Source organism: Homo sapiens, chromosome 6, assembly GCF_000001405.40.
Source record: "Homo sapiens chromosome 6, GRCh38.p14 Primary Assembly".
Taxonomy (NCBI): domain Eukaryota; kingdom Metazoa; phylum Chordata; class Mammalia; order Primates; family Hominidae; genus Homo; species Homo sapiens.
Window position 1 is genome coordinate 106,842,134 of NC_000006.12, and position 16,262 is coordinate 106,858,395.

Genomic DNA, 16,262 nt, shown 5'->3' on the forward strand with positions numbered 1-16,262 from the left:
CATTGACAAATCATCATCAAATCATCACCAAAGTCTATAGGGTTTTTTTTGTTGTTGTTTTTGTTTTTGTTTGTTTTTTGATGGAGTTTTGCTCTTGTCACCCAGACTGGAGTGCAATGTCATGATCTCGGCTCACCGCAACCTCTGCCTCCCGGGTTCAAGCGATTCTTCTGCCTCAGCCTCCCAAGTAGCTGGGACTACAGGCATGTGCCCCCACGCCCAGCTAATTTTTGTATTTTTAGTAGAGACAGAGTTTCACCATCTTGGCCAGGCTGGTCTCGAACTCCTGACCTCATGATCCACCCGCCTCGGCCTCCCAAAGTGCTGGGATTACAGGCGTGAGCCACCGCGCCCGGCCAGAGTCTACAGTTCACATTAGGTTTCACTCCTGGTGTTGTACATTCTACGGGTTTGAGAAAATGCGTAATGACATGTATTCACCATCATAGTATCATACAGAGGCATTTCACTGCCCTAAAAATGCTCTGTTCTCTGCCAGTTAATTCCTCCATTCTTCCTACCTAACCCCTGGCAACCACTGATCTTTTTACTGTCTACATAGTTTTGCCTTTTCCAGAACGTCATATAGTTAATCGTACAGTGTGTTGTCTGTTCATATTGGCTTCTTTTACTTAGTAATATGCATTTAAGTTTCTTCCGTGTCTTTTTATGGCCTGACAGCTCAGTTCTTTTTGGTACTAAATAACATGTCATTGTCTGCATGTACCACAATTTATTTATTCATTTATCAGCTGAAGGACATGTTGGTTGTTTCCTAGTTTTGGCAATTATGAATAAGATTGCTATAAATATTTATCTGCAAGTTTTTATGGAGACGTAAGTTTTTCATTTCTTTGGGTAAATACCAAACAGCATGATTGCTGGGTTGTACGGTAAGAGAAGATTTACTTTTGTAAGAAGCTGCCAAAATGTCTTACAAAGTGGCTAGACCGTTTTGCATTCCCACCAGCAGTGTACAAGAGTTCCTTTTGCTCCACATCCTTGCCATCGTTTGGTGTTGTCAGTGTTCTGGATTTTGGCCATTCTAACAGGTGTGTGTTGATATCTCATAGTCGTTTTAGTTTGTAATTTCCTAATGACACATGATGTGGAGTTTCTTTTCCTATGTTTGTCATCTGTATACTTCTTTGATGAGGTGTCTGTTTAGGTCTGAACCTATTTTTTAATCAAATTGTTTGTTTTCTTTTTGTTGAGTTTTAAGAGTTCTTTGTATAGTTTGGATAACAGTCCTTTAACAGATATGTGTTTTGCAAATATTTTCTCCCTGTGTATGGCTTATCTTTTTATTCTCTTGACAGTGTCTTTCACAGAGCAAACAATTTTTTTTAATGAAGTTGAGTTTCTTGATTTTTTCTTCCTCAGTATCCTTTTACAACTTAAATCTGAGGATACAACACTTTACTTCAATACCTTGTTCTTAAACAAAGACTGGAGCAGTGAGTACATGGCTGTGGACCTCATCAGTGTCATCAAATTGATGACATTGACCAACTTTTCCTGGGTTTGGATAGTCTTAGAGATTTTTAGATCGTCTCTCATAGAATTTCAAGAAATCCTTCCATAAAATACCTAGCTCTAACTTCCGCCTCTTAAGCAAGAAAAGCAAAAATTGAATTAGCGTTTTATGTCCTGCATGATCTCCGTGGAACCCGTACAGATCCTGAGGACTAAATGCGCTGACAAGGACACAGGCACAGGCTTTACCGGCCCAGGGATGATGGGAGGAATTTAACCTAAGTGAAAAATTAATTCTCAAACCTATCCTACCCTGCCAAGATTCACAATCCCATTTTTGCCCTGTCTCTGTGCCACATCCCATATAAGCAACAATTTAACCAAAAACAGACTTGAAAATTAATTGTACATCATCCAAGTCAGCGAGATCTTCAGCCCCCCAATTTAGCATCATTGTCCTGGGCAACCAGGCTTGTGGCTCATCCATTTACCCAAATAGAACCAGCAATATCTTACCCTGGACGAATAGGTGGTAAAAAAAAAATGATTTTTCCCCTCCCTTTGGATCTTTCTGAGGAAAGCTGAGTTGATTAACAAATAAAAGTTACCAGCTGGTAAGTATCTTGGATCTGTGTTTTGAAGCCGAGGTAATAAGCCTTTTGAACAAACTGCAAAATAAAGGACAAGGAGCAAATTCAAAAGGACTTTTGTGCAGATTCTTTCCTATCATTTCATGATATGGTTTTCACATCAGATATTTAACAGCTCATCAGTCTGATTATAGTACCATTAGTCCCACTTCTAAGCCTGATGAGCCACTCTGGTCTTGTTTCTTACAAAAATTAATTTTAGGTTTTTCTCAATTGGGATTAAATGTCAACCAAAATGTACTACATGAAAAGTCTTATTAACATTATCATAATAACAACTTATGCTCCTTACACATTAAAGCACATAAGACATTTGCCTACAATGTGTGATTGAAATCCTTTTCTTACCAACCTTAAAAGAAAAGCAAAAGATGCTGGTACTGAATATGAATAAAACATTCTGTCAAGAGCTTTTTTGCAAATGCTGCTCTAATTCATGCAAAATCAAATTTATCTCCATTGGATTAAATTTAACTGATTCAGATCCACATGGCTGACCAAGATGGGGTGTTAAATTCCTTTAAAAAATGGTAACTTCGGAAATATCCATTGGATTCCCATACTCTTCTATTTGAACAGTCAAATGCCCTTTATGAATTAGCAATGAGATTTGACAGAACTGATTTTCCTTGGAAATTACGTGAGATGTTCTATTTTTAACCAGAAGCTAAAAAAGTGTGATGAGATCAATGCTTTAAATTAAGTCTGCCTAAAACCTCAAGAAAAAGTTCTCATCAAAGGAACCAACAAAATCACAAAAATGAGGAGCAGACTGGGGAAATCCTGGCTAAAATTCTTGATAGACAATAGTTGTCCTGTTATTCTTCTTTGCCAAGATAGCCAGGTGTCACTGTGATGGCTTAAGAAAAGAAAAGAAAAGGAAAGAAATGACAACACAACTTCCACATGAACAGCCAGAGACTAGAGGAAATCCCCAGTTACTGTAACTGAGCTAACTTCAGCATTATATTCTGAACCACTTCTAGAAATGAAACCTTAAAGGCAAAACTTGGGGTTTTAATCTGACAGAAAAGTGAATTGGAAACATCTTTAATTTACATTTTAGAAAATGAAGAAAAGCATGTAGAAAAAAAATTGAAAGCCTTACAACCCAGGAACCTAGAAATAATAACTCCTGTATTTCTAATATTGTAGGCATTCCCAACCAGTTTTTGTTTTTTTTGTTGTTTTGTTTGTTTTGTTTGAGGCGGGGTCTTGCTCCGTTGCCCAGGCTGCAGTGCAGTGTCATGATCACAGCTCACTGCAGCCTTGAACTCCTGGGTTCAAGCCATCTTCCTGCCTCAGCCTCCCAGGTAGCTAGTACTATAGGTGAGTGCCACCACATCTGGCTAATTTTTAAATTTTGTGAGGAGAAAAAGTCTTGCTTTTTTGCCCAGGCTGGTCTTGAACTCCTGGGCTCAAGCGATCCTCCCACCTTGGCTTCCCAAAGTGATGGGATTTATAGGCATGAGCCACTGCACATGGCCTGCTTATTTATTTTAATGTAGTTTTTCTTAAACCTTTGAGGAAAGTCATCACTCAACGATTATTCCAAGTTGGAAGTATTCAGTGGCACAGCACCATCAAAAAGCCCTGAAAAAGGCATTCTCCAGTCTGAAAAGAGAGCTGAAATAGCCTCTCCCTTAATAAAAAGTGCCTGTAATCCCAGCACTTTGGGAGGACAAGGCCTCAGGAGGATTGCCTGAGCCCAGGAGATGGAGGCCAGCCTGAGCAATACGGCAAGACCCCGTCTACAAAAATCAAAGAAATTAGCCAGGTATAGTGGCTGACAACTGTGGTCCCAGCTACTTGGGAGGCTAAGGCAGGAGGATCCCTTGAGCCCAGAAGGTCAAGCCTGCAGTGAGCCATGTTTGCAGCACTGCACTCCAGCCTGGGCTACAGAGCAAAACCCTTTCTCCAAAAAAAAAAAAAAAAAAAGAACAAAAATAATAATGATAATGATGATTTCCAGAGGAACTTCTGCAAGTAGGGAAAGCCAGCAGTACCTACAAGCCTCAATTCATCCTGTGTCCCCTTGCCTCCACCATGACCCAATACCCACTGTTGCTCTGATAAGTGGAACTGGTAGAGTCTTGGGGAAACTTTAATAAGCATTAGAGAGAGTAGAAGGAAAATCAGCACAGAGAAGTGGAGGTACAGGCTGGTTTAGGAGGTGCTGGCCTGATCTGCCCATAGCTGGCTGTTCCCAGGCCTTGGTGTGGCCTTCTCTCAATGGTAAGCCATGGGCAGCCTCAGTCATTTGCTGAGTTCCAAATGGAAGCCAATCATGAACATCCTCAGCTCAGTCCTGGCAGGCCCCAGCTGCTCTTGCTTCCATTGCTTAACTTCTCTCCTCATTTCTCTGCTCCAGGCCCACCCTGGGCAAAATTGCAGAGTAGATTCAAGATCCCCTTCAGCAACCTGGTCTCGTGGTTCTGCCCAGAATAAATGGGTGGGATGACCCATTCTTTATGAATTGTCTTTCTGGAATTGGAGAGCTTTGCAGAGATTAGAAAGAGGCCTCATCTGGGCACACACAGCACTTGACACAGGTGTCCCCCCTCCTCCTGCTGAAAGCAGCCGTAGGACACAGGTTAACTAGTGGAGAGCAAGCTGGGTCTCTATCCCACAAGCCTCTCAGCCTCAGGCCTTTGTGCGGGTCATGAACCAAACAGTTGAGGCATTTGGGGGTCAGGGAACTTTCCTGGTACCTCTGAAATTTCTTCACAGGGGCAAGTGTCTTTTCCAGTCACCTAAGCAGACCTTGTTCTAGGCATCCCTGGACCAATATCATGGATTACCTTTGAGTTTTTCCTAACTGTTACAAAACGCTTTATGGAAAAGTTGTTTCTTTTTGCCTAGTGTTTATTTCTGTCTCCAAAGCAAGCTTGCTTTCATTTCTTTCACTTTTCACAATTTGGCAGAAAATGCTTTTCTCATTTGCCTCTTATGTGAAGACTTTTATCTTCTCACTTCCCCTTTCTTTTCTTCCTAGAAACGTCTTATCTCTTACCATCCCTGAATGTCCCCTCCAAGGTAAGGGAACCAGCTCTCACTTTTGAGTGTTTACCGAAAAGTTTCCATGCCACGTGGATGTGTCTCCTTGGGAGGGAGGTGCCTCGGGAGGGGGCTGGCTCCTTGGGGGCCTAGTCAGGCCTCGGGCCTTTCCTGGGCAGAGGTGACGAGGACAGCCAACCTAAAGTAACTGGGTTTCTGGGAAAGCCTAGAGGCCCCAGAGAGTCCTTTCACACAGTTCTCCACAGGTTACCATAGATATAAGGAAAATTTTTTTCAGCACTGATTTGCTTAAGCACTCTGTAAAATGCCGTTTTGAATTACAAATGAAGATGTGTATACCTTACTAAACACAAATATTTAAAATGGCAAATAAAAGAGTTAAGATGATTTAGAAATTTTAATGACCTAATGTATTAGTACAGTTTTAGTTGGGAGTTGGAGGACCATGGTAGATTAAGGTGAGAGAAAATACTGGGTGCTCAGTTGTTCTAAGCTGTATAATGTTTTGCAAAGTATAATCAAATAGAAAGTTGAAAGGTTCCTTGGTAGCTTTAAAATGTAAACTTTATACAAATCATGCAGAATGTTGTTATACTACCCTTCAAGTTATTTCTGGTATGTTACACTTTACATAAATACCTACATTAAGCTTGACTTCTTGATTAGAAAGCAAAGAGGAAAGGGAGCGCATTAAAGTGTTAACACAGGTGATATGGTCTGGCTCTGTTTCCCTACCCAAATCTCATCTTGAATTGTAATCCAGATTGTAATCCCCACGTGTTGTGGGAGGGACCTCATGGGAAGGGATCAGATCATGGGAGCGGTTCCCCCATGCTGTTCTTCTGATAGTGAGTGAGTTCTCATTAGATCTGATGGTTTTATAAGGGGCTTTTCCCCACTTCGCTCAGCATTTCTTTCTCTTGCAACCATGTGAAGAAGGACATGTTTGCTTCCCCTTCTGCCATGATTGTAAATTTCCTGAGGCCTTCCCAGCCATGTGGAACTGTGAGTCAATTAAACCTCTTTCCTTTATAAATTACCCAGTCTTGGATATTTCTTCCTAGCAGCATGAGAATAGACTAATACAACTGGGCATCAAAAATTCAGGATTTGAAAATTTGGGCATTAACAGGAGAGGGGCAATATTACTTCCCACCAAAGCAATATACAAATCTTATTTTTAAATTTGCTAATACACGTGATATTCCTTCCGACAATTACATTACTTTTTAAAATCTAAACTATTTGTTATTAAAATGTACAAAAGACTTTTGGTAAAACATTTAGATGGCAGGCAAAATGAATGAACCAAACAATTGGATAAATCTCATTAGTTTAATAAATGGTAACTAAAAACTAAAGTGCCAAAAGATTACATACAATATTATCCACACCTTTTTCACAACATTTAGAATAACTACAATAAAAGTATACACTTTTTAGGAATATGTGCAATAAAACTCTATAAAAAGGAAAGCAAGGGTATGAGGAACATGGAATTCAGGAGGAAGATGATCATGGGTGGACAGAGGATGAGGCAGGAGTGAGGGAACCAAGTAGTTAAATGTAAATTATTTTAAAGATCTTAGCTTTTATTTTGAATGGTGGCTTCCCAGACACTAGCTGCAGTATTAAAATGACTAACCCAGGAAATAAAGGAAAGGGAAAAGATAATATTGACAGTATCTAGAAATGTACAAATATATAAAACATATTGAATTTCTAGACCAATATCCCATAAGTGTCCATTGCTGACAATTTTCTCTATATCTTTCCCCAATTTTTAATCTTGGCATTTTAAAGCATATCCTAATTCCCCAATTAAAAAGCAATAAATAGCACACATGCCCAGAGAAAAGGCCATAAGTGAAGTCACTTGTGTTAATAGTGATCATAAGAAGAGGCTATTGCATAAGTTACAATATGTACAGTACACTAAAGTCTTTGGAAAGCACGGTAGAGTTAAGTCTTTTGCAAAAGACCTGAAAACTGTTGGTGATGGCAACCCACAGCTTCCTCCTAACTCAATTCAGACTGCTCTCTGCCCTCAGAGCTGCTGGACAGATAAGTCTTGAAGCTGTTTCTGTCTGACCTGAACTCCTAGGTTTAGACTAGAGCAAGGCAGCGGGGCTGGCGAGGACAGAAGGCTCTTAACAAATCATCATCCACCTCCTCACCTTCTAGAAAACAACAGACTCTTCAGCATCCAGAATCCAGCAGAAGAGAGACTGAAGTTTCTCTTTTTGTAAGAGAATTGGGTATAATAAATAAATAAATAACCTTTGTAGGTCTAGACCCCAAATGGAGAGAACATATTAATTCCTTGTTTAGTCTCTTCCTGGGACAAAGGTCCCACTCAGTCCTTTCTAATGGAGACCATGGCTGTCAGTCTCTAAGCAGGCTACCCCTTTAGCTTCTCCATAGAACAGATCACCAGTCTGCTTCCCAAACAGCCTACTTTCTCGATCCTATCTTAAGGAAGTCACACATCTCACACCATAAGCTTGAGCTGCATGTGGGGAAAGTGGGAAGGAAGTGGAGATGAAAGAGGAAATTACACCCCTAGCAGTTACAAATGACGGACTTAGATAGCATTGTCTAACCCAGGCCATTGGAATTCTGCACCATCCCCACTGCCCCTCTGCCTCCAACTGGGTTGCCACCATCTCTTCAATAAGCAATTAGATTTAATTAACATTGCACCCCGCATTTAGATGGTAGCGAATAGTGTGCCAGCAGACATTTAACAATTGGTTCTATGAAGAAAAAGCATTTGTAACGTGTCTATTTCCATGGTGTAAATGCTCTCATGGTGGCCAATTTCAAGCTGTCAACATGATGTCACCAGATGCAGATTGGGAACTGATACCACAGTCAGGTCTTGTGAGCTGCATTGAGCTGGCTCCCTTACACCACTAATTGTAATGCTTTCATTATAAGGTATTATTATTTTGGTAAGTGGATCTACAATTGGCCAATATTTTGCAGCCATGCCTCAGTTTCTTCGTTGTTAAAAATGGTAAAATAAGAACCACTTCTCCAGATTATCATGAGAGTCAAAGTGCAAAGCACATAAAATTTTCAAACCTTGTCAGTCCTGACTGGTTGCAGTGGCTCATGCCTGTAATCCCAGCACTTTGAGAAAGCCATGGTGGGAAGATGTCTTGAGCCCAGGAGTTTAAGACCAGCCTAAGCAACATAGCAAGACCCTGTCTCTACAAAAAATTTTTAAAAATAACCAGTCTGGTGACACATGCCTGTAGTCTCAGCTATTTGGAAGGCTGAGGTGGGAGGATTGCCAGAACCCAAGAGTGTGAGGCTGCACTGAGCTATGATCGTGCCACTGCATGTCAGCCTGAGCAAGAGAGGGAGACCTAGTACTTTGGGAGGCTGAGGCAGGAATATCACTTGTGGTCAGGAGTTCAAGACCATCCTGGGCAACATAGTAAGATTCTGTCTCAAACAATAACAATAATAATAATTTAAAAATATATACATCAAGCTGGGCACAGTGACTCACGTCTGTAGTCTCAGCACTTTGGGAGGCCGAGGCCAGTAGATCACCTGAGATCAGGAGTTCAAGACCAGCCTGCCAACATGGTGAAACTCCGTCTCTACTAAAAATACAAAAAATTTGGGCCAGGCGCAGTGGCTCACGCCTGAAATCCCAGCACTTTGGGAGGCCAAGGCGGGCGGATCACAAGGTCAGGAGATTGAGACCATCCTGGCTAATGTGGTGAAACCCCGTCTCTACTAAAAATACAAAAAAACTGGCCAGGTGTGGTGGTGGGTGCCTGTAGTCCCAGCTACTCGGGAGGCTGAGGCAGGAAAATGGCCTGAACCCAGGAGGTGGAGCTTGCAGTGAGCCGAGATCGCACCACTGCACTCCAACCTGGGTGACAGAGTGAGACTCCATCTCAAAAAAAATACAAAAAATTCGCCGGGCATCGTGGCGCGTGCCTGTAATCCCAGCTACTCGGTACTCGGGAGGCTGAGACAGGAGAGTCACTTGAACCAGGGAGGAGAAGTTGCAGTGAGCCAAGATCATGCCATTGCACTGCAGCCTGGGCAACAAAAGCAAGGCTCTGTCTAAAATAAAATGTGTATGTGTATATATATACATATATATATATATATATGTATATACACACACACACACACACACACACACACACACATCAATCCTGCTTCCGTCATCCTCTTGTCTTCTCATGTTGCACTTTCATTCCTAAAACTACTTTTGCAAAGATTGTGACAGTCAGAGGAATCTAGCATGGCTGACTCCATCTTGCTTCACAGGCTGGCTATCCTTGCTCATTCCTGGGCATAAGCCAGGCTAACCATGGGAGGAATTTTGTTTATAGTTTAACTTTGAAGCAAGGATGCTAATAGTCCTTCCATAAAACTAATTCCCTTGGCCAGGTGTGGTGGCTCATGCTTGTAATCCCAGCACTTTGAGAGGCTGATGCAAGTGGATCACCTGAGGTCAGGAGTTTGAGACCAGCCTGGCCTTTATGGTGAAACCCCGTCTCTACTAAAAAATACAAAAATTAGTGGAGCATAATGGCGGGTGCCTGTGATCCCAGCTACTCAGGAGGTTGAGGCAGGAGAATCGCTTGAACCCGGGAGGCAGAGGTTGCAGTGAGCCGAGATTGCACCACTGCACTCCAGCCTGGGTGACAGAGTAAGACTCCGTCTCAAAAAAAGAAAAAAAAAACAGAAAAACTAATCCCCTCCTCGTTCAGAGACTGAAGCTACCTTTGCAAAGCTAACTGTGGGAAGAGTCTGAATTCTACTAAAATGTAGGCATGATTTCTATCATCCCTTACTGCTCAGAAGTCCTGCAGCCAGAGGTCACAAAATCTGTGACTTCCCCAGTTGCTCCTATAGGTAATATCACTGTTGTAGGACCTAAGGTTGGTCTTTGAGATGGTTTTCAGACTTTTGCATTCTGGCAACCAGCTGACCCCATTTGGACCAGTGATTCATGACTCAACAAGTTCTGTGGCCCTCACCCAGAGGCAGACTCAGTGCATAAAGACCATTTTCCACACCTGTATGATTTCATCCCCAACCAGTCAGCAGCACCCATTCTCTAGCCCCCTGCCCATCAAATTGTCCATAAAAACCCTAGCCTCTGAGTTCTCAGAGAGACTGATTTGAGTAATAACTCCAGTCTTTCCAGTTGGCTAGCTCCACATTAATTAAACTCTTTCTCTACTGCACTACCATGGTGTCAGCGAATTGGTTTTGTCTGTGCAATGGGCAAGAAGAACCTGTTGGGCAATTACATTCCTCTTCCTCATTGTGAAGGCACAATCCCACCAGGGACACAAGTCCATGGAAGCAACACTTGGAACCTAGGAGTTGGAGATGTGCTCCAGTCAACAGCTGGTTGGAATGCTGAGAGGTTATTTTCTTATAGGAAAATGTTGGCAGACTCTATATGACATTGAGTTCAGCACAGTGAATGAGTCTACCTGTAAAGGGTTCTGTTTGTGCTTGGTATTCCCCATAATGATACTCTTAAGGATCCTTATGGAAATAAGTAATGGGTCTTCTCTGGTGACAGATTCTACATACCAGTGAGCTTCACACTGAGGGAGATTCTACAGTAAGACTGGCACTATCTTGCCCCACAGATACAATGTAGGTTAAGTAGGTTTTGGTGGGGTTTCTCCATTTGCTATGGAAGGCAGTTTTGTGAAAAATTGCATTCCCAATTCCCAACCTATTTAACCCATGTTGAATTCAACCTGTTAATATTTGGGGGACTATAAATATATAAAGATACAGACCCTATGTTAAATGAAAATTATAGATTTAAGAATTCTTTCTCTACTCTTCCTCTTCCAATAATGAAGTCATATCTCTCTTTCTTCATTGCCAAGTTTCTAGAAAGAGTGATGTACCCTTGCCTCCACCTCACTTGGTAGACCACACAGGCAGGTTTTCATTCTGTGTGCTTCCCTGACATGGCTCTGGCTTTTGTAGTTGTTGTTGTTGTTGTTGTTTAGTTCTGTTTTCTGAGACAGGCTCTCACTCTGTCACCCAGGCTGGAGTGCAGTGGTGCGATCTCAACTCACTGCAATCTCTGCTTCCCAGGCTCAAGCAACCCTCCTGCCTCAGCCTCCCAAGTAGCTGAGACTACAGGTGTGCACCACCATATCCAGCTAATTTTTAAATATTTTTTGTAGCGACAGGGTTTCACCATGTTGACCAGGCTGGTCTCAAACTCCAGAGCTCAAGCAATCCAACTGCCTCGGCCTCTCTGAGTGCTGGGATTGTAGGCGTGAGCCACCGCGCCTGGACTTTGTAGTGTTTTTTAATCCATATATTTATAAATTCTTGATAATTCAAGCTCTGGAAGGACAGAAACTGTGTCTTCACCTCTGTAGACCTAGCACTGAGCACAGGCAGGGACATATAGAAGGTGCGTATGCCAGTAGCTACCGTTTGTTGAGCACTGTGCCAGACATTGTGCTATGAGCTTTATGTGTACTCAATCTTTTAATCTGCACAACGGTTTTATGAAGCTAGGGCTTGCATTATCTCCATTGCATAGATGGAGATACTGAGGCACAGGGAGTTTACGAAGTTTGCCTGAGGTTGCACATCTAGTAAGAGGCAGAGCAGGGATTTGAATCTGGGCTGTCTAGAGCCCACACTCTTAGCATTTATATTCTATGGCCTAACAACTAATAGTGGTTAATCTTCATAAATAAAACTAAGATGTTACCTTATAACATCTTAAAATCTTTACAATTAAAGATTTTTAATGATAAATAATGTAATCTTTGTAAATAAAATTAATATTTTGCACGCAAAATCACTTTTGGGGCCCCAGGAAGGTCATCCTAATGCTGTAGGTTTTCATCCTCTAAAGCAGCTGAAACATGAAACCATTGTCAGGGCAGCACAGGCAATAGGTACGAAGGAGCCATAGAGAGAGAAACCTACAGTGTTTCACCTTTGAGCCCCAAACCAAAAACCACAAGAACAAAGGCTTTGATGGACCAGGATAAATTTGCAATGAAGCTCCTTCTTGCATGGGCCACTGTCATGGGTCAAATTGTCTACTCCCAAAAAAGATATACTGAAATCCTAACCTCCAGTAGTTCAAATGCGACCTAATTAGGGTCTTTACAGGCCTAATTGGAAAATAGAGTCTTTACAGACCTAATTGGAAAATGAGGTCATTAGATTGGGCCCTAGGCCAATATGACTGGTGTCTGTTTAAAAAGAGGAAATTTGGACACAGAGACAAACATGCACACAGGGAGGGAGAACACCCTGTGAAGATGAAGACAGCCAGTGCGGTGACCATCTCTCCACAAGCCAAGGAATGCCAGAGATGGCCAGCACCAGAAGTAAGGAGTGAGACACAGAACAGATTCCCCCTCACAACCCTCAGAAGGAACCAACCCTGCCAACACCTTGATCTGACTTCCAGTCTCCAGAGCTATGAGACAATAAATTGCTTCTGGTTAAGCCCCCTCCCACCCCAAACTGGGCTCCCATCCCACAAGCCCGGTTTGTGGTGGTACATTGTTATAGCCTCCCTAGGACATTAATACAGCCAGTCTTTGCAGGTGTTCCTGGATTATTAGAAGCTGGATTGACATTGGTGGTACGTGATTCTTCTGATTCATAAAAGGAGGCCAGTGAGGGAATGAAAAAGCAACAAAGGAGGGATAAAGAGTATAAATCACTGTGGGCTGAGGAGGGTTTCATTAGATCTCAGGCTTGACCTACCATGTTGGAAGGGGGATAAGACTGAGGCAAACAGAGAGAAGAAAATAGGAAGAGCGTCCAGTGTGATCAAAGGAGCAGAGGGGGAGTGTGCATAATGCCTCAGAAGCAGTAAGTAGACCAGCACAACCAAATACAGGGCTCTGGCGGAGAAGAATCTGGATGGCAACGGTTTACAAAATGAAAACCTTAAAATATGGCATGATTCCATATGCCAGACGTCAATACAGAGTGGATATAAAACCTTTTATTCATTCAACAAGTATTCTTGCATGCTTAGTGTGTTTGTGATACTATGCCAAGTGTGGGCATAATTCATGAAATCTCAAGGCAAACAAAATGCTGAGATTTCAGCCAAGCTTCATCTTTGATGACAGCAGCAGTCAATTTGACTTTCCAATGTTCAGCCGAGTTATTTCTTAAAATAGTCCTAGTACTAAACTCCTCTGAACACTTTGAATAAGGAAACAAGGTTTCTATTAAGGGACCCCAGATATGGGTATAAGAGAGTCACATAACTTTATAAACTTTATACAAGTACTAAATTAGAGTTATCCTATCTGATACTATCACTTAGAGGATTTTGAAAGGAAATTGATATTTTCACTACAACCTTCCTGAAGTCCTCCTTCTGATAAAGAAAACCAGGGATGAAACCCAACCCTCTAAATATATTTTTAATAAAAAAATCAATGGATGTCAATTTTCAGGTTGGAGGTTTATTAAATGTCTTCTTGTGTACTCTTCAATCTTTCTGCAGTCACCGTCTGTTTTATTCAACTCATGACTGCCTAGCTATACTGCTAATCTAAGTAATATTTACTTTACCACTCATCAATATTTGCCACTTTTAGTAAATATTATACCATTATACTACTTAAAGATTTATTAAGCAGTTAAAATTGAGTCTTTACCTCATTTAGTATTTATCTTTGAACAGACTGAGTACAGCATAAATAGTCATAGCTGAATTCAGAATTCTTATTTTTAGTGTAATTGGACCAAAAATCATTCTGCACACCTGGAAAGGTGTTGACCAAAGCATCAATAAAGACAAAGCCTGTTTATTAATGACCCCAGCTCCAAACCTTGCTGGAAAATACTAGGTAACCTTTAATTAAAATTACAAATAAACTTTTAATCAATCTTAAAGCATACACTGACTGAGTTTGTCAGTAAACTCGCACCAACCTAATACCTTGAACAAGTCTTCATATTCTACATTTCTTTTTCACTGGGTGAAATTCTGAAAATCCAGTATTATTTCTCCTATAGCCACAGTGAGTCAGCTTCTGAGTGGCCAAAGAAAACTCATAGAAGGTGGAAAGGGGCGATAAGACTTGCTTCCTTGACACCCGTAAGTGCTTCAAACTCCACTGAGAAGGAAAGAAGGAAGGGGCACAAACCCCTGGTGAGTCGCCGGTGGACCTGTGACCCAAAGGTCATTCATTCTGCAAACGTTTATGAAGCAGCTACTATATGCTAGGCACAGTGCCAGGTGCTGAGGCTATGATTTTGCATAAGACAGACCCTATAGGTTCTTGTTGCCTCGTGGAGAGACAGAAAATAGCCAAATAAGCAAGAAAAAATTCAGAAGCTGATCATTCCAAGAAATTTTAAATAGAATAATTTGATAGACAGAGTTGACTGGTGCCTCTGAATTTCAGGTCAAGGAAAACCTCTCTGAGGAGGTGGCAGCTACGTCTGAAAGATGTTAGTGCAAAGGCCCTGAGGCACGAAAGAACTTGAAGGCAGCTTCTGGAAATAAAAAGAAAGTCCACCCCCCTTCCCCCAGTGTGCGCAATAATCATGTACTATTTTATAATGAGAAAAAATGTTACTTTGGGGGGACAAACTTCATATCCTTTAACACTTGTGGACATCAATCTTAACGAAATTCTAAATGTAGAAAAAACCTTTTCGGCACAATGATATTCACAGCAGCATCATAATAGTGAAAAAACAGAAACAACCTAAATGACCAACAACAGATAAGTGGTTATATAAATTGCAGCATATCCATTTTCTAGGGATTCTATACTCAAAATTATTAAGACTTCTTTTCTACCTGGTCTTTTCTATTTTCTAAATTCCCTTTAATGAATATGAATTACCTTTATGATTTAAAAAAAAAAATGAGCTGGCCAGGTGCGGTGGTTCACGCCTGTAATCCCAGCACTTTGGGAGGCTGAGGCAGGCAGATCATGAGGTCAAGAGATCGAGACCATCCTGGCCAACATGGTGAAACCCCGTCTCTACTAAAAATACAAAAATTAGCTGGGCCTGGTGGCGCGTGCCTATAGTCCCAGCTACTTGGGAGGCTGAGGCAGAAGAATCACTTGAACCTGGGAGGCAGAGGTTGCAGTGAGCAGATATCATGCCACTGCACTCCAGCCTGGGCAACAGAGAGAGACTGTGTCTCAAAAAAAAAAAAAAAAAAAAGTCAACATGGGAGATTAGCATCCAAGATGGAGTTCCTTTAGCCTCCAGGCTAAAGGTTAGTCATGGCTGTGGGTCTAGAATCCAGAATCACAAGAAAACTAGGGTTTGAGTGGTGTCATAGATCAGATTTCCTGGAAAACAGATTCTGAGAGGGAGATCTGCAAATAGATAATTTGTTGGTGTTGTGGGTTGAATGGTACCCTCTCAAAAGATAGATTTGTTAAAGTAGGCAGATAGCTAGACATGAGCAGGTGGGGCAGCCCCTGAGAAAAGGGAGGCCTGGAAAATCTCACACCCCAGAGATCACCCAAAACCTGCATGTGAGATGTGAGCAGAGAGGAGGGAAAATACCTTGGCAGAAAGGAACGCCTCTTAAGACCCCAGTAATTGCTCACTCTGCAGTTCACCTGTCACATTGTCGCTAGCTACATGCTAATAGGGCAAAGGAGAAATTCCGAAGAGAAATGCAGGCACAATAAGATTTGACCACTGTACAACATTCCTTGAGTGGCAGTAATGAGCAATGCAGCCATTAGGTAGAATCCATATTCAACACGGAACCCACACGTGTGCACCATTAGTAAGGGAGGGTCCCACAAGCCTGGGGTGGGAACTAGGTATGAAAAAGGTAGGGACTTAAGGCAGAAGCAGGAAAATTAGACAAAGAAAAAAGGCAGAGACTTAAGACAGAGGTGGGAACGCCAAGAAAAAAAAAATCAACATCATAAAAACCCAGCGCAGAGTTCTCGGGCTGCTGCTGGCCCACTCTCTTTCAGCAGCCTGCTCGGGCTTATCTTTCAGAGTGTCCTGGCTCTCTAAATAAACTCTCTGCTCTCTATTTTCCTTCAGTAAATTCTCTTTTTTTGAGTAAATTAGTTGCTTGGCAGAATTCTTTCTTCCAAGTAAGACTAAAAACCAAGGATC

General features: G+C 41.7%; 2 annotated features.

Annotated features, from left to right (window-relative positions):
• Positions 3,080–3,139: an enhancer, noted in NCBI's record as "active region_24895". NCBI's record gives its function as "activates an Ori minimal core promoter by ATAC-STARR-seq in GM12878 lymphoblastoid cells {active_cell/tissue: GM12878}" and the evidence as "EXISTENCE:reporter gene assay evidence [ECO:0000049][PMID:35858748]".
• Positions 4,770–4,819: an enhancer, noted in NCBI's record as "active region_24896". NCBI's record gives its function as "activates an Ori minimal core promoter by ATAC-STARR-seq in GM12878 lymphoblastoid cells {active_cell/tissue: GM12878}" and the evidence as "EXISTENCE:reporter gene assay evidence [ECO:0000049][PMID:35858748]".